The sequence below is a fragment of the Homo sapiens genome, chromosome 2 (assembly GCF_000001405.40).
Source record: "Homo sapiens chromosome 2, GRCh38.p14 Primary Assembly".
Lineage (NCBI taxonomy): Eukaryota > Metazoa > Chordata > Mammalia > Primates > Hominidae > Homo > Homo sapiens.
Genome location: NC_000002.12, coordinates 91750370 through 91768678, shown reverse-complemented (window position 1 = coordinate 91768678; position 18309 = coordinate 91750370). Strand labels below are relative to the sequence as shown.

Sequence of the window (18309 nt, the reverse complement as noted above, 5' to 3'; positions counted from 1 at the left end):
GGGATGCTTCTCCTAACAGGCCCTCTCCCCAACTCTCAGGGCTATAGGCTGGGCTCTAGGAGCTGTTACTCCAAGGACCCTGCTCACCTGGACCGAAGGGAGTCACATGATCCAGGAGGGTCCTTCCTCAACCCCCAGTTTCAGGGGTCTGAGCTGACAAGCTGACTGAGGACCCCAGGCAACGGAAGCAGGGGGATGAGGCCCATCCATCCATCATGCCCTCACCTGCTCTGCCCCATTCAATGAGATGAGATGGGGTGGGTGCCCCCACAGGGCTGGCAGGCCGAAGCCTCTAAGCCCTCAGATCAAGGTCCACACATGGTCTGCAGCCTGCCAGAATTGTCACTCTTAGCAAGGCTAAGAGTGGCAACACAGCACCCTCCATGGCCCATCAGGAAGGACAGGCAGAGACAACAAAGAATTGTAGGGATGTGAGAATGAGGGATGGAGAGGCCCTTAAGGCTACACTGTGTGAGAAGTTGAAAGAACTAGAGATCTTTAACAGAGAAGGGGCATACATTTCATGTATTTGAAAGGAAATGACGCAGACTTCTCTTTGGTTTTTCCATGGGCAGATCTCAAAAGGGAAATTACAGGAAAGTGAACTTTTCAACAATCAGAGCTGCCCAAAAGTGGAACTGAGGCTTGTGGAGTGAGTAGCTCTCCCTCCCTGGAAGCATTCTGGCAGAGATTGAGTGCCACCTGTGAGGGAGAGGAATAAGGGCTACACCACGGGGTCGAGGAAGGGCCAGAGGAGGAATGATTCAGTTTGGAGACAGGAAAGGCTTGTCTGGGCTGGGCTGGGAGCTAAGGAAGAAGGGGGATGCAGATGCATAAGACCAGAAAATGCCTTCTAGGTAGGAACTCTGGGTGTGGAGCTGGTGTCAGCCCAAAATTCAGGGTGCAAACTGCAAACCCAGAAGAAGATTCAGGAGCTGCCATGAATCCTGCCTTGCCACATTTTGCTAACCACAGCTGCCCTGCTCCTTGGTGAAGATGCTATCCACAGAAGCAGAGTCAAGGATGCTTCCATGAGTCTGCCATCAGCATCAGGACCCACTGCAGGTAAAATGGATGGGATTGCAGTGTGCTAGGGTGATGGTCTGTGTACCTGCACCCACACTCAGCATGCACCTTGCAGACAGTCTCTCCACACCAGCCCCACAGAGCCCCACCCACCCCCAGGCAGTCTCTGCACTAAACCCACTGGCCCAGGACAGCCGTGCCCTGCGGCCTTACCTGGCTGTTTCACAGTGACTTCTGTGCGCCCAGAAACCTCCTCTGCCAGCTTGTACCAGGCATAGTTGGGGCTCAGCAGCCACTACTCCACGTGGCAGTAGTAGCTGCCGCTGTCGCTGACCTCGGCTCTCTGGACGGTGAGGCTGAACAGGCCCCCCGACACATGCCTCTCAAACTGGAGCCTGGCTCTCAGGCCCTCCTCCTCCACGTAAGTACCGTATTCGAAGGCGGAGTTGTGGGTGGTCTTCAGGATAAGCTTGCCGTTGGCATCTGAGGGCTTGTGGACGTACCAGAGCACCGCAAAGTGGGAGTTCTGGCTGGTCTGAGACTTGACTGAGCAGTTCAGCTGAATGGGCTTGTTTTCCACCAGGGTGAGGGTCCTCTTCGATTTGCTCACCTGCAGCTTTGTCACTGCAAAGGAAAGGGGAACACAGGAATCACCACAGACTCCCAGAAACGTGGCCCATCCACCTCGAGGCTCTGAGTTAGTTTTCCTCCAGCACAGTTCCTGGGGGATTTAACACCGACTGGCTTCAGTGTGAGGAAGGCAGCACGGAGCCCAGGCCACCGCTAAATATCCTTCCCTGTCTCCTCCTTGCCATGCGCCTAGCTTAGGCCTTCACCATCTCTCCCCTATCCACTGCCTGCACAGCCCACCATCACAGGGCCTCTGAGGGTGATCCTGCTGAAATACAAATCTAGCTATATCAGGTCTCTGCTTGAAAAGTTTAATGGCTCTGAACTACCTACGGACTAGAGAGAAATAATTCCTTTTCACAGCACAAAGTCCCTTCAGGATCTGGCCTTCACCCAAGTGTCCTGACTCATCTCTCATGACTCACCCTCAGGCACCCTCCACAGGCACACGCCCCTGGTGCAGTTTCCCTGAGTGCTGGCCTTTGCCCTTGCTGTCCTCTCTGCCTGTCTCCTTCTGCCACCTCCCACCCTCACCCTTCTGTCCACGTATCCCTCATTCCCATCCCCCTGGGCTCCATACCCTTCCTCAGCACCCTCTATATATCTCTGGTCTGTGTGTCCTCACATCTCTCTCCCATATCCTAGATGGTGAGCTCCCCCAGGGCAGGGATCAAGCTCTTTCCACTCAATCAACCAGTATTTACGGAGTGCCCACTCAGTTTCCCACAGGATGCTAAGTGCTGGGGATGTCCTGAAGAGTAAGCCAGAGTCCCAGCCCTCATGGGGTGGACGGCCTAGCGGACATTCTTATCGCTGCACCCCCAGAGCCTAGCACAACACCTGGGCCAGGAAAGCATTTGATCAGTGTTTGCTGAAATAGGTGAATGAGTGGGTGAGCGAATGAGAGCACATTGGAGAAACACGGCAACAGGTAATTAGAGGATGCTGCGGGGGTGGGGAGAGGGGGCTTCCTCTAGGGGAGTGAGAGAGAAGGCTGAGAAGACAGTAAACCACGGGACAAGGCAAAGCCAACTGCAATCCTCCCTTCTCCTCACTGTCCCGCTCCAAAAACAGACAAGAGAGCAGCCTGTGGAGCGCCTCCCCAGCAGCTAATTAATGACGATGTTCACCTTGCCAGTGGCAAGAAGCCAAGGTCTAATGAAATCCATCTTAGGAAGGTGATTTGAGATCTCACCCACCCCGTCATCATTAACCTTGGCTCTGCATTCCCCCACTCACGCTTCTCCTGCTACTAAAAATGAAAAAAAAAAAAAACAAAAAAAAAAACAATTCTAAGTTCCTCTTAGGGAACTAATAGCACAAGCATTGTTCCACCTCCACCACTCTCTTCACACTTAGTTTTTCCGCCACAGGGACCAAACCACTTCCCAGCTGAGAAAGAAAGCAGGGGCAAGGTGGAGATTCCACCCAGGGACAGTAATCTAGGCCTCCTCCAACCGAGCTTGTGTGGAGGGCAGGGGCAGGGGCAGGGCAGGGATGCCTGGCCAGGCTCCAGCACTCTGCTGGTCAGACTCTTGTCTCTTTAGTCCAGCTCAACCCCAGGAACTGCATCCAGACCCAGGACCCAGCCCACTGGTCATGACCCTGGCCTGCCAGCTGGCTTAAGCTTGGTTTGGCAGCATCAAGGGTTGATTGAGTCCCATGCATCACAGAACCAAAACTTGTGAAAGCCACAGACTGCCACTTGGTCTCCCTGTAACACACAGACAAATGTTCTGAATGGATGGAAGGATTTAGCAAGCCAAGGTGTGGCAAAGTCCAATTCCCAATGCCATGACTGAGCAACACTGCGGAGCATCTCCCAGCGGTGAATCAGACATTCTCTCCAGGAAGACTTGTTGAATTCACAAACCCACAGACCTTCTCACGCCATCAAGAACACACCAGGCACCACTTAGAGAGAAATCCTGTGTGCCACGGCCCCACCCTCCCGGGTTCATCTTTTTTGTTAGCAAGTCCAATCTTCTGCCTTCTCCCTTCTTCAAATGCAGAAAGTCCTCTAGGGCACACTAGGAATCCAGGACAGGGTTTACCATTAACTCCCAAGCTCTGGAAGCTAGATTTGCATTCGCTTGCCAGCCGACTTTTCAGATTGGATTCCTATAATACTTGAAACAACCGGCTCCCTTTTCATTCTTTTCCAACCCAATTCACCGCATGCAAATGATATCTATATCAGTGCAAATGACACCACCTGAATTATCTGGTTCTTGGCCAAAAAAAACTGGATTGTTCAGCATGGAGTAGAAAGAGCTTTAAAATGTATTATTAATTGGGGCCGGATTATTTTTGCAACTGTTACTAAGGAAACCTCAATTGCTATAGTAACTGCATATGTTAAACTGGAATCCTGTGACTAAACTTCTATTCAGTCACATGGTCTGAGAACAAGAATTCAAGGAAGAGAAATGTTCCAAAGCATTTCCATTTTTTTTTTCCTTCCCATGTCAAAATATTGTGAAGTGTTGAGAAGCTTGAAAGGGAGGCATTTTTTAAATTTGGTGCATGTCTGACAGGTGGGCAAGGGGTCAGCTCCTATTCTATGCTCTGGATTTCCTCCCACATCTCCAGGGCAGGTAGAACCTTTCCTGAGGCACAGGGGAGACTGGAATCTCCACATATAATTAGGGAGCCCTCCCATGTCCTGCCAGAGCCCTGCCCTGGGCGGTGTACAGCTTGCGTGCACCACCTTCCTCCACAGAGCTAGGAGAGCCCTGCCCACTTAGAGACCACAGGTGTTTTCATCTGCAAAATAAGAACAATGTCTCTATCTCCATTAGGAGTTTTGTGCAGACTAAAAGCAATTGTCTATAAAAATAGTTTAGCACAGAACCTGGTATATAACAAACACCCAGTGAATTTTAGCTATTCTCATTCCTTTTTGGTTTCTGTGCCTTGTCCCAAGTTCAAAGTTCAACACTTAGATTGGGAGTTGTCAAGCATAAGTGGCAATCTTCCTGCTCAAAATGCTGTTCTCAGACCAGCAGCACTGGGAGCTTGTTAGAAATGCAGACTCTCAGGCCCCACCCCAGACCCAGTAAGTCAGAATCTGCACTTTAACAAGATCCCCAGGTGATTCACTAGTAGCTTCAAGCCTGAGAAACCCTGGACTTGGCCGTGTGAGTGAACAGGCTTTGAGAGGCCATAAATGCAGACGTGAAAGAAAAGAGTGAGGCTTGGTTAACCCCCAACAGTGAATTGGCAGGAGGAAGAAAGAATCCAGCAAGAGACAGGAAGAGGGTCCGAGAGCTGCTCCAGCTCACGCCAGCAGCTGCCTTCACAGCAGCCCCCAGGGGCCAGGCCCTGCTTTGAGGGAGTGGCCCTTTCTTTCTGCAGCTGGAGAGTTTCCTTCCCAGGCTTGTGATTAAAACTTGGAAGATCTGTGTTTTGTATGGTAGGAGAGGCTGTTGCGTTTGTTACAAGCCAGGATAGGGTGGTTTCAAGGTGAGACATCAGGAAGAGGGAAGAACTCCACAGCGGAGACCAGCAGCAGCTTTCTCAGCCAGCCTACCCTCCCTTCAGATTCCACTCTGTGTGTGCTCTTCTCACTCAAAACTCATTTATTTCTTCAATAAAGGATTTCCTTACACTCCACTATAGCTGTTACTGCTGCCTTACAACGAAGGTAATTTTTAAAGTCTTCTCTTTCTTACAAAATTCTAAGCATATGCAGGGCAGGGACTCTGACCCAATCATTGTTAAACTAATCAATGAATGGTTGAATAAATGTGGTTACTTTTTAAAAGGAGGGGCAATTCTGATTTTGATAGAAAAGAGAACATTTCAAAAGGTATGTGACCTCTGAGCTAGGCCCTGAGAAACAAGTGGAGAAGGAGAGTGAAAGGGCACGCCAGAGAGAGGGGACAAGTGAAGAAAGATGACAACTACCCTGTGCACTCTATTCAAGGAGGAGCAAGTGCTCAGGTGTAGTGGATGAGGTTAGAAAGGTAAGCTTCGGCCACTCTAAAAGGGGCCTGCAGCTTGTACTTGATCCTGACCACCTGTGGCCCTCAGGGTGCATGCCATGGATCTGCAGATCAGCATCACCTGGGAATTTGCCAGCCCCTGCTAAGTCAGAAAAACTGCGAGTAAGGCTCAGCAACCTGCAGGCTCACGAGCCCTCCAGTTGATTCTGGTGCACATTCAAGTTTGAGTAGCAACAGCTGTGCTGCTGAGGTGGTTGCTGGTAAGTCTGGAGAAAGCGGTTTCTGTGCAGTGGTGTGAGCAGCAGCCAGAGTGGCAGGTGCAAAGAGATGGGCACTGAGGGAGGAAGACACTGCTCTTTATTAAAGACAACAGACATTAATGCTAGAGATAGAGGCGGCCAGTGGCTGCGGCAGGAGAAATGTTTCAAGTGGAGAGAAGCAAGTCAGATGAGAGACAAGGAAAGAATGCAGGGTGAGCTGCATGGGAAGCCAGTGGCACAGGCGCCTGCCACTCAAACTGTTACTACCCCTGAGTCCCTCTGTCCTTAACACCCCTTGGCTCCCTGCTCTCTCCACATGACCATTCCCTATTTGGGCCCTCAATGATCTCTTTCTCAGGCTCTTATAATTGGCCTGCATATGACACTCCCTCCCTCTCGGCCTAGCCACAGCCAGGGGATTTCCCTAAATGGCAAATGGGGCATGCTACTGCCCACGGCTGCCCACCCCACAGCCCGTGACAGCAGTTCTCAATAAGGCAGCTAATTGCAAGCAGGTCTCTGGTTGCCATATTGATTTGGGGAGGGGTATATATTCAATGGAATAAAGCCATTAAAGATGTAAAATCGTATCTGGGACAACTCCATGCAACAAAACTCTGCCTCGTGTCCTGTGTGACTTTCGAATGACATTCATATGGGCAAAAATTATGCCTCTGAGCCTAGAACCTACTTTCATTTTACTATAATCACAATACTTTTATTTTGCATGGTTTTAATATATGCCAGGTCAGTCAAGAGAGGATTTTCCTTTGTTTTGTTCAGAATTGTAGCAAGAGTTACTCAGGACTTCAGAAACCCTGTCAGGATGGCAGTCCTGCTCATGGTACCAAGTCTGATACGGTGACTGTCAGTGTGCATTTAGGGACAGCGTTGACTGTGACTGTGCCTCCTAGCATAGCTGTCCTGAGCATTTACACATTGAAACACATTATTTTACTATGATCTACTTTAAAAAAAAAAACTTTCTTTATCCCACAACTAGGACAGTATAGCAAATTTTAAAGATATGATTAGGAATGTTATATTGTATATGAATTTCATTTCCGGGTAAAGGGAATATTATAAATTATTACAAAAATGGAGTATATGATCTGGGTACGGGCTAAAGTCCTAATTTCTGAGTTTAGGATATTCTTATTTATTTAGCAAACTTTCATCTGGTCCTATGTGCTCAGCACTATTCTAAGCACTTTATAAATATTAACTATTTGGTCCTCACCAATCCTATGAAATAAATATTATTCCCAATTTTATAAAGACACTTGCCCAAGGTCACACAGCTGGCTTAGTGGTAGAGCTGGGATTCAAACCCAGGCCATCTGGTCTGTCCTTGCTTTTAGCTATTACATATGCCCACCCTCACCCCATGCTCCCATGTACAAAAGGGACTTCTTGATCCCTGCCAGCTTGCCTGGGGGTGAACCCCTCCCAGACCCCATGCTTTAGTCATCTCAAGATAAGCATGCTGCTCCCACCCTCCATGACTATCTTTATTCACACTCTTCTCTGAGCCTGAAATGCTCCACTCCTCCTTCCCAACCTCCCACCCTCACCCCTACCCCATTCCCTCCTCACGCCCCCTGCCCCCTGCCCCGTGTTCATGCCCTGTGCTGGCTCTGCCTCCACACCTGTAATGCTTTTCTGCTCTCCTCTGTCCCTAGGCCTGCTGCCTCCCACAGAGCCCGCAAGGCAGGAACGTGACACACCCATCTCAGCAGCCTCACCAGCATGGCAGCCTGGCACTTAGTAGGTGCTCAATGCATGCAGAGAGACAGGGAGGGAGGGGCAAGGGGAAAGCAGCAAGAGTCTGCAGGTAGAAATAGCTAATGAAGGTTACCCAGATGCGCCCTACCCTGCCTTACCTGTCTGCAGGCAGGGCAGTTACCCTGGCTCGTTGATGCCAATAACAAGTGCCCCGGTGTTACCATGACAACAGGCCTGAGGCATCTGGGAGGGGCTGGGCTCTCCTCTTAGGGCTCTTGCACTCACGCCCATTCTATCTTGGCACAGACAACAGGCAGAAGCCACCTGGGATGGAAGAAGGAGAACCCCGCACTCCCCTGAAAGAAGGCAGAGGCCAGTCCTCTGAGGGATGGGGCAGTCATCCCTCAGAATGTGAAAGGAGAGCCAGTGTTCACATGCTCTGGACTCATGGAAGTCAAAGAAAAGCCCTCTGCTATCCCAATCTGCCAGGTCAGCAATAAGAAATAGAAGAAAACCGATTTGGCAACATCCAGAGGGTATTAAATATTCATCCTGAGTGCCCATCAGTAAAATCCCAGCAGAATACACCCTCTGACAAGTCAGCTTTCCACCACTGGAGGCTGTCCTCATGGAAACTTGTTTATGGCTTTGTCAATTTTAATAGCCAAACCAAGATATTGTCGTAAACATTTGGAAAATGAGTGCTGACATTTCCCTTACTGCTTCTGTATTTAGGTATGTGTAATTGGAGGGCGTTTTGAGCTAAAGAAAATCAGAAGGAAGCAAGGCAATTATGCTTTACAATTAAAAGAGAAAACTGATTAAGAGCTAACAATCAAATATGTGAACTGGCTGAAAGTCTTGCCTAAGCACCCCTTGAGGGGTCACACTATGTGATCAATGAGGATCAGACTAAGCTAGATCAATGGCAACATGACAGTGATGGCATTCCTTGAAGATTCTGTTGGGGATGTGCATACGCAACAGGAAGCACACACAGGGCATGGTCAAATAACAGATCCACAAGTCAACTGTGCCATCCAACCAGAGATTCTGATGAATACTGATATGGGGGCAGGATCAGCAGGGACGAGTCTGGGGCACAGACCACAGAGAAGCTTGCTGTGATAAATGATATCACAGCAGTGGAAGGCTGATGGTAAATGGACCAGCATGAGTGAGTCAACAGTCCCTGGGTTCCTATTTGATTCTGATGGAATACGAATATTTAACACAATATTCTTTAAAACGGGGGTAGCAGGGGACACTTCTATGGACGACACCAGAGCAGGGCTAAGAATCTATGTTTTGAGGGGCAAGGTATGCAGGGAGAGCAAAAGAAGAGAGGACAGCGCTGGTTCTGAGCTCTGGTATCCCCAGGTCTTAGAGCCACCTTGTGGCAGAAGCTGGAAGAATCAGGAGTTAAAAGAGGCACAAGATAAAACTTCTACACCATCAGCAAACTGTGTCTTGAGGAACCTCTACCAGTGTCTTATGACCCCAACTTCCAAAAAACAAATTTAAGGACTTGCTAAAGGGGATTAGGAAATCAGGAGTGGTTAACCAGAGAGAGGAAACATTAATTACAAGCATACGGTACCAAAGAGGATTCCTGAGAAGAAAAACACTTGTCTAGAACATATAATAATAAAATTAGGAACTTGGACTCTGGAGCCAAACTGCCTGTCTGGACTTGAATCCTGGCTCTGCCACTTACTATGGCACACTGGGCAACTTATGTAACTTCTGTGTCAGTGTCCTCATCTGTGAACTTGGGTAAAATGGTCCCCCTCACAGCACTGCATGGATTAAGAAACAAGGAACTAAGTTATTATGTGTAAAGCATTCCCAGTGGTTTACAAGAAATGTTCAGTGAATATTAGCTGCTACTGTTGTTACTACCAGTAACACTAGTGCCATAACTCCTCCACATCATCAATCTACAAGGAGAAAATTCTTCTGTAAAGGACAGCATTAACTGAATGCAGAAAGAAGAATCTCTGATTACATAGCCTTTAAAAAGGTCAAAGTCTCCCTACCACAATTACTTTTTAACAAGGCACACCTGGATTCAAATCCCAACTTTCCCCCACTCACTAGGTGTTTAATTTGAGGAACTGAGAACCTCTCAGAGCCTCTGTTACTTCATTTATAAAATGGGAAAGCAATATGTTCCTCCCAGGGTTGCAGTGAAGATTAAGTGAGATAATATACACCAAGTGTCCAACAGTCTCCAGCGCACAGTCAGCTCTCATGTATTTTTCCACTTCTATTTCCCCAAAATGAATGCACCAGCACCAAAATATATAAGAAAGAGTAAAAACTCTTATGAAGCTCTCTGGAAAATATTAAGTGCTAAATGCATAAATATTTAATAGAGGAGAGACAGTAACACTTAAGGGGATGCACTCTCCTGGTGCCTCAGCTGCCCTCTGGGAGTCCTGCACGGCCTCAAGCACCCACCTTTGCTCTTCCTAGCCTCCAAAGGGTCATAAAAGTATATTACTGTGCACCTTTAAGTAGAGGCCTCATAACAGCCCAAGTACAGTGATACTCATAAGTCTCCTCTGCCAACCACTGTTCATTCTCATTTTACAGTGAAAACACAACAGAAACCAACTCGAGACACCCAAGACACAAAGACAACCTCAGAGCAGATCTGGGGTCTCCCAACCCTCCAGCTACTTTACCCAGGAGGCAATTATGGTATAAAGGAAAACATTTGCTCTATGGAAGTCAGAGATACCTGGGCTCCAATCTCAGTTCAAATCTCAGTTTTGCCCCTTAACCAGCTGGCTTGCCTCCATCAAGATTCCTGACCACTTTGAGCCTTGGTTTCCTCATTAGCAAAATAGGGATACAAACACCTACATTATTAGGTTGTTGGATAAATTTAAAAAAGAAAACATGAGTAAAGCACTAAGCATAAACCTGGCATCCAAGAGGTACTTCATACATATTTTTCCCTGTCTGCCTTTAGTAACACCATAAATTAATCCAAATAATTAGAACCTTCAATGAACTAATTCTGTATTCTTCCCTTAGGCACTCCAGTCTTAGATTCCAAATAGTACCAGAAACAGGCAAATACTAGGGATGGATTCAAAAAGGCAATATCAGACAAGGTCTTGAGGTCAGCATCTCCTCTACCTTCTATAGCTGCAGAACCATGTGATGGGCAATGCTGCTCAGAAAACTGACTTTGAGAGCCACAGGGGACCAAAAAAGGTGCAATTACAATCCTAATGTCCCACTCAATAACGCAGGCAAGTGGGTACCTCGACATTTTCCACAACAAGGGTTCACATAAAATGGGGTCTCTGCTTAACCTTCCATTAACCTGAAAATCCACTTAAGTAAAACAGCCTCTTCCCTGAGCCTCTTGTCAGTCAAAGTTTAGGCTCTCGTTGGCCAAGGGAACAGTCTCATCATTTATACAACTCACTTGTTCCAAATCTGGTACAGAACAGAACTCTGTTATGGGGTTAGAAGAGGTGAAGGAGAAACCCAAAGGTTACCGTTATTTAACCTCATGTTGCTGAAAACAACACTGTGGCCACCTAAAGTAGTCGGGCAGACCAGGTCAGGCCCTAACCATGGCTGTTAGTGGGCAGAAAAATCCCTTTGGCAAGGCGTTCCAGCCATCTTTGCAAAGTCAAACCCTTGCCCTTGCCTGCACAGGTGTCTGTTCTAGCCGAGGCATGGGCTGGGTGAGGGAAGGAACACAGGAGCCTACCGCCTGGGCTCCACCCTCCACCAGCTTCTAACCTGGCAGGAGACAAGGACAGATGGAGGAAAACCATAAGAGCTGCATGTACTTAACTCCTCCCGCATGTCAGCAGAAGAGCCTGACGAAGGTGAGAGTGTTTGCAGAAAGCCCCACTGACTAATGCTCCCCAAATTAATGCATCCTGATGATCCGCTTTGAGACAGACTCAGCCTCCATAGAGAAAGGAGCTCAAATTCAGGGCCCATACAACTGGACAGGGCCTGGGTGTAGGCAACATTGTGGGAGACAACCGGGGTTCAAATCCTGTCTCCACCATTCACTAGGTACATGACCTTAAGCTAGTCACTTAAATCTTTCCTGGGGTTGTTGTGCAATTCTAATAGAATAACTGACCTTCAGCACCTCATGCAAAGAAGATGCTCAATAGGTGCCTATTACCCTCCCTCTTTACTCACAATTTCCTTGTCTATGAACAGGAGACAATGATATCACTTCCACATAATTGTATGAGGATTACAGGAGATGAGGTTAAGTAAAGAAAAAGGCTTTCTTTAAAACAATTGACCTGTGCATTTCACAAATGTCCATGTCTACAGACACACACATACACACACACACACACACACACACACACGCAAACACACAGGTTAGGGAATTGTTCTAGATTAAAGGAGTCTAAAGAGACAGGATAACAAATGTGATGTGTGATCCCTGGTTGGATCCTAATCTGAAAGGGAAAAATAAAGGGCATGATTGGGACAACTGGGGAAATGTAGGTGATAGGACTACACTAACGTAAAACCCCAAGGGTGTGATAATGGTGCAGTGGGTGGGTAGGTTCTTAGGAGTTACATGCTGAAGTACTTAGGGGGAAGTGTCCCAATGTCCACAGCTTTCCCTCCAATGGCTCAACAACAACAACAAACATACACACAGAGGAAGAAAACAAATGCTGTCAGACAACAACTGGCTATCAAGGAAAGGAAATACAAGTGTCCACTGCATGATTCTTAAAACTTCCTATTGATTTGCAATGTCTCTAAATGAAGAGCTGGGAAAGGGGGAAGTGATGCTAAGGGCTCCATGCACACTTTTCTTTTTCCCTCACGTCTGCTCAGGCAGCATGGGCACATAGCCCACAGGTCCTCAGCACTCACCTGGCTGCAGCACCCTGATCACCAGCAGGTTGGAGGTCCTCTCCGCCAGTTGCGTCCAGGTGTTGTTGCAGTTCTTCCGCCACAGCTCTGCCACACACTGATACTTGCCTGCTTCCGTGTCACTGGCTCGGCTGATGCTTAGGCAGACGTTGTTGCTGGACTCAGCCTTCTCGGTGGCAGTTCGGGTTCGGAAGCTGGAGGACCTGTCCCCCCACTGGACCCCTCCATCCCGGGTGAAGGTCACCAAGTCATGGAACTCCACTGTGCCCACCGGCTAGAAATGCCATGTCACTGACACGGGGACCTGGGCAGGGTAGTGGGGTTTGATGATACACTGCAAGTCAAAGGAGTTGCTGTAGGTGACCCCCGGTGTCCGGGAGATGGCTGTGACTGCAAAGCCCATTTCTGGAGAGAGAGCAGAGAGATTCAACCAGAGGAGGCATGTGGCTTTCTCAGGGCAGTATGACATCAGCAATGGGGCAGCTGGCAAAGCAAGCAGTGTGGAGCAGAGGCTCTCGGGGCCCCTTTTGAGCTCTCAGGCTAGTGTTGCTTTTAGTATCCTGCTGAGGCCCAGTCCAAGAGTTTCCAAGACTCCAAAGAAAGGCCCACCACAATTCCCCCTGAGCAGCACTAGCCTAACCCTTCCCAATGAGATCCTCGTGCATTTGCTCCTCCCCTGGAATTAGACATCACAATCCTCTCAGGGACTGATTGCATGTAGGCAGGGTTGCTCCTAGAAATCTTGAGATTCCATGAGAAAACAGGAAAAGAAAACCCCAAAGCCAATTTCCTCCATTGCACAGGAGGAAAACACAACCACACAGCCCCAACACCTCTTTTCCTGGTCCCTTAGTGCACTGGTGCCGAGAAGGGAAGCAGATGGAGTCGGCCTCCAGTCCCTTTCTCACGTCCCTCATGAAATCCAAGAACAGAGCAGGTGGGGACCTCCAGTGGGGTGGGACAATTGTCCTAAATGCAGGGTTCTGCAGTCTCAGCGGCTGTGGGTCTCTCAATATTCCTTATTGAATGGGCAGCACTGCTAAGCTCTAATACTGACTCCTCAATATGAGTACCTCAGAGTTCCTTCAGCCTGGAAATACTGTTTAATATTCATACATTGATCACAATCATAAAGCTAACAGTAGCCAGTATTTATTGAGCACTATCTAGGTGCAAGCATGGTGCCAACTGCTTTGCTCTCATCATGCTCCACTGAATCCCCAAAACAACCTTGTAGAACAGGCAGGCTTGTCATCTCTTCCTGCAGATGTAGAAACTGATGCAGAGAGAGGTTAGATAAATTGCCCAATATCAAGCATTTGGTAAGTCAATGACAGAGTTAGTCTCCAACCACATGTAACTGATTCCAGGGGCTTTTTTAGGTTGCTTTACCCATGGAAAGCATAACACAGTGGTTAAAGGTCTAGACTCTGGAGCCAGCAGCCAAGCCTTTGACACTTCCCAGCTGAGTGACATTAAAGTTACTTAACTTCTCTCTGCCTCTGTTTTCCAATCTGTAAAATGAGTCTCTGTGAAGATTAAATAAATCAGTGTTTATAAATATTACAAATAGTACCTGGCACATGAGATATACTATATTTTGTTAAATATTTTGTTAAAAAATGAAATAGAAATTTTAAAAAAGTACTTTAAACTCTGTAATGGGAAAGACTGGCCACAGGATGAATCTTTTGGCTTTCTATGGTGAGGTTAAGTTGGCAAATAGGTAGGTACAATTTGCTGAAAACTCTGGACCTTTGATTTGGATTTCATCTCTATATACCCTTTAAAAAAGTTTATGACACGGAGGCCCATCCTTAAACATGAAGCACCTCTGACAGTCACTGTGCACCTGTGTGTAGTAGGTGTTGCATGAGGGTGGTGTAGGACAGAACCTCAGGGACAGGACCCACACCAGGTGCTCCTGGCCTCACACCTGAAGGGGAGAGAGCTTCCCCAAGCAAATGACTTTGTCTAGTCCTGACACAGGCACATGCCACAGTCACAGAGCACCCAAGCTGCTCTAACTGAACAGCCATAATGGCCCATTGTACATTTGGGACCTGCATCTAATTATACTGATATGAAAATTCATGTGTGTCATTGTTAACTTTAGACTGAAAAGACAACCTTAATTAGTCTAGAGTGCCCTCCCATTCTTCCTTGTTCAGTCCTTTGGGCCACCTGATTATGGCTGTAGCCAGAAGTATCTCAGTGGTGGAGATCAGGTGAACAGTGCTGGCCTCCAGATCCCAGGGCAGAGCCCCTCAGTGCCCCTGGCTGTGAGAACCACCAGACATACGGTGAGTAAGAAAAAACTCAGGGGATAACCTGATACCATAAATTACTTCTAGAGAAACAATCCTCACTAACTCTAATCACTCATTGGACATTCCTAACCTTCCAGGATGCTTAAAAAAAAAAAAAACACCAGTACTGGACATCCAAAATTTGTCCCCCAAGTTCCATCTGACTGGGTCCACACAGGTGCTGAGTATGGACACAGGAACTGAGCTGATCAGGAAACGCAATCACTGGAGGAAGTTTCTAAGACAGAAATCTGAGCCATATAATTACTGCAAAAAGCAGGTCAATCTTTAGGATTAAGCTTTAGAAAACAAATGTAATTCTAATCTCAGAGGGGTAAGAAAATGGAGGACTCTGTTAAGGACAAAAACCACTCGGGGCTGCCATCTTTACTGGAAGTATCCAAAAGCACCACCATCCCGACCTGCAAGGAAGGTGGTGACACAGTCCCAGGGAGTGGGACATAAAATTGCTGAGGACAACCGATGTCTCCTGATAAACAGGAAGACCTGACATAACAAGTTTCTTTCCCAGCAAAGTCACAGACTGGTCGTTTAAAATCTAATATACTGATTATATCCAAGCAGATAAATGTTGATAGAAGCCTCTTTACCCCAATGAGAAGCAAATCTAATCTTCCTTGGTTTTAGCAAATCTCAAGGTATCTTTTCATTCCATGCTAATGAGGGAATAGCTTTGTTAGGTATGGGCCCCATCAGGTAGTAGAAACTTCTAGCCTTAGGCAAAGTATTTAATGTGTCTCAGTCTCAGTTTCCTCCATAAAATGAAAGTGTCTGTCACTTGGCTAGGTGGGGATTCAATGGGACAACTAAGCTTAAGTGTTAAGGATTAGCCAGGAACATAGTAAATGCTAAATAAATGACAACAGATAATTTTATACCCTTCTCTGCTCTCTTTCAGGAAGGCTGGCCCCTGAGAAGCAGGGCAGGAAAGACATGCCACACAGTGCTCAGCCACTCTGCTCTCTTTAAGGCCAGGCTGGCAGTGGCCATGCTCCTCCACCTGGGGCCACAACTATGGCTGGGTGGCTTCACTAACCTGGATAGAGTTCTGATAACATCACTCTCTCCCAGCCAGACTAGGAGTAGTCACAGCTCCCAGCTATTGCTATCCCTCAGGAGCCCCATCATCCACTGTGGGTCCCTTAGTCCCTGCTAGCACTATCTTAATTAATTAAACCCTTATAAGAAACAAAATAGGTATAAAGGAAAGTACTTCAAACTCTATAGGTAAAAGACTGGCCATAGTTTCCTGCTAGAACTCTGACAGACAAAAGTCAGGATAAGGTGTTTGACACTGAAGCTGTCTCCATGCCAGACCCACTGCCAGTCCCACCGCTCACTCACCAAGAGCTATGATGGAGATGGGAGTGCTGGCCCGGCGCTCCCCAACAATCTGCCACTCGCCATCCACCACCCGCACCCATTCAGTCACATGGCATTCATACTGGCCCTCGTCCTCCTTCCTGCTGTTGAAGATGCCCAGGCTGAATGAGTTGGGCTGCACCTGCTCCATCTGGACGCTCCCAAAGCTGCTGCGCTCCCAGTAGGACGAGCCTGGCTGCACGGTGCCATCCCGGTCTAGCCACATGATATCGCTGCGGCGGTTCTGCCTGTCCACAAGCTGCCAGATGACAGAGAAGCGACCCTGCAGCCTTCCTGCCATGCGGACGCTGCAGGAGAAGCGCAGGTCCTCGCCCTCAAGGATGACGCTGGCATTGCTGGCCACCTCCACGGAGATGCTGCTCTCTAGGAAGAGGGAGAGAGAAACACCCTGGAGGCTTTATGGTCTCCACAGCGCCCTCCCCACAGAGGAAACAGGAGGAGGGGTGCAAATGGAATCATATTCAGGTACGGTGAGCCTCAGAGGGTCAAAAACACTCTGACCCTCGCTGATGTAAGCCCTGGCTGGTTCTGGGCATTGCTCCCTGTGGTTTTAGATCTGATAATCTAGGATGTTCTTTGCTGTGTGCAGAGAACTGTGATAACGAGGTTCTAAGACCTGAGCCTGAATAAGAACCTAAGAAATACAACATAGTGGCATGATGATTAGGGCATAAAACAATTTATTGGGTAATCTATTCAGCTGCAGTTCAGGGTTTTTCAAGTTGAATTTTCAGCAAGAAGAGTAACTCCAAAATCCTACTTCACTTCACTCTTCCTACCATTCGATACTACAGCAGTCAAATAAAAGCTGAACATCCATAATGTGCCATTTGAGTCCTTCAGGACAATTTAGGAAATACGAAAAAAAAACTGACAGTAAGTATTTGGATGATAACGTGTGCTTAAGTGTGGGTAATAAGGGAGCACAGATGGTCTAGTTTTGCAGAGTGCGTGAGGAGGAGGCTTTCATTCTTTCATTAACACACAGGAATAAAACAAAGCCAGCAGCTCGTCATCCACCACTCTCCCACCTGTCCAGTCAGCCCTGGGGCTCCTTTGTTCTCTTTCTAGAAACATTTGGCCAATCAAAAGTTTGGGATAAGGATTCCACTCCCTTCCCTGTCTCATCTAGCCTCTGCTGCTCACTTAACTATCTGAATTCACTCAATCAAATTATTTAAACTCAACATGCCTCAGCCTCTTCTTCTGTAAGACAGGTAGAGAGCCACCTTTAATTGTAGAATTCTTTAAATATTAAAAAGTAAATGAGATGATGCGTATAGATTCACCTAACACATAGTAGGTTTTCAAAAACTGGTCATCATGATCATGATTAATTTTACTATTCCACATAACTCTTTGTTTTTGTAAACATCACAGATAGCCTAATATGTTTTAATTATGCACGTAGTATTTTGTATAATTATCTATATTGAGTTCAGAAGGTCTGTAAGTATTAAAGAACACAAAGTAACTAATTTGGCTCCAATTTTTGGGTACCACCCACATTAAATACATGCAATAATTTAAACCAATTAATTAAATCAAATCCCAGATTTTAAGAGGCACACCCAATTACCAAGAGAAAACACACATATACACATAACAATGCATTTGAATCAAATCTTTTCTCTCCTTTATTTCCCCAACAAGCAGAAACAAAGACGAGCACTGAGCCTCAAAATGTAGCTCTTATTATAGTGAGGATGCCTGCTAGCCATTCTGGATGTGCTTGTTTTATGTGAAAAATAAAAGGTCTGGATGGGGCAGGGAATAGCAATTTTCCCAGGAGGGCAACCTCCCCCAGGAGTCATACCATGATGATTCATAGAGATAATCAGGCTCCTGAACAGTCACCATCTATAGCACTAATGGTTAAGGGGATGGATTTGGAGACTTCTTAACTCTGTAATCCTGTGGTTCTTCCTTAACCTACCAAAGCTCCAATTTCTCATGTGAAAAATGGAGATACTAATAGTGCCTACTTCTTAGGGCATGACATTGACAGGATTAGATGAGGTAATTATTTTTCATCATCATTAATAACAACAATATTCCTCTTTAGATTAAAGACTCATCCCCACTGTTATCAATTCAAAATAAGGGATTAAAAGGGCAACT

General features: G+C 47.0%; 1 pseudogene, besides 1 other annotated feature; it reads right to left on the bottom strand.

The window, feature by feature from the left end:
* The window catches only part of IGSF3P2 (IGSF3 pseudogene 2), a 30792-nt pseudogene continuing 13649 nt past the window's right edge, over window positions 1167-18309 (bottom strand).
* Window positions 15887-16386: an enhancer, noted in NCBI's record as "H3K4me1 hESC enhancer chr2:91940319-91940818 (GRCh37/hg19 assembly coordinates)". NCBI's record gives its function as "activates a minimal SCP1, AML or CMV promoter by ChIP-STARR-seq in naive H9 embryonic stem cells {active_cell/tissue: H9 hESC(naive)}" and the evidence as "EXISTENCE:reporter gene assay evidence [ECO:0000049][PMID:30033119]".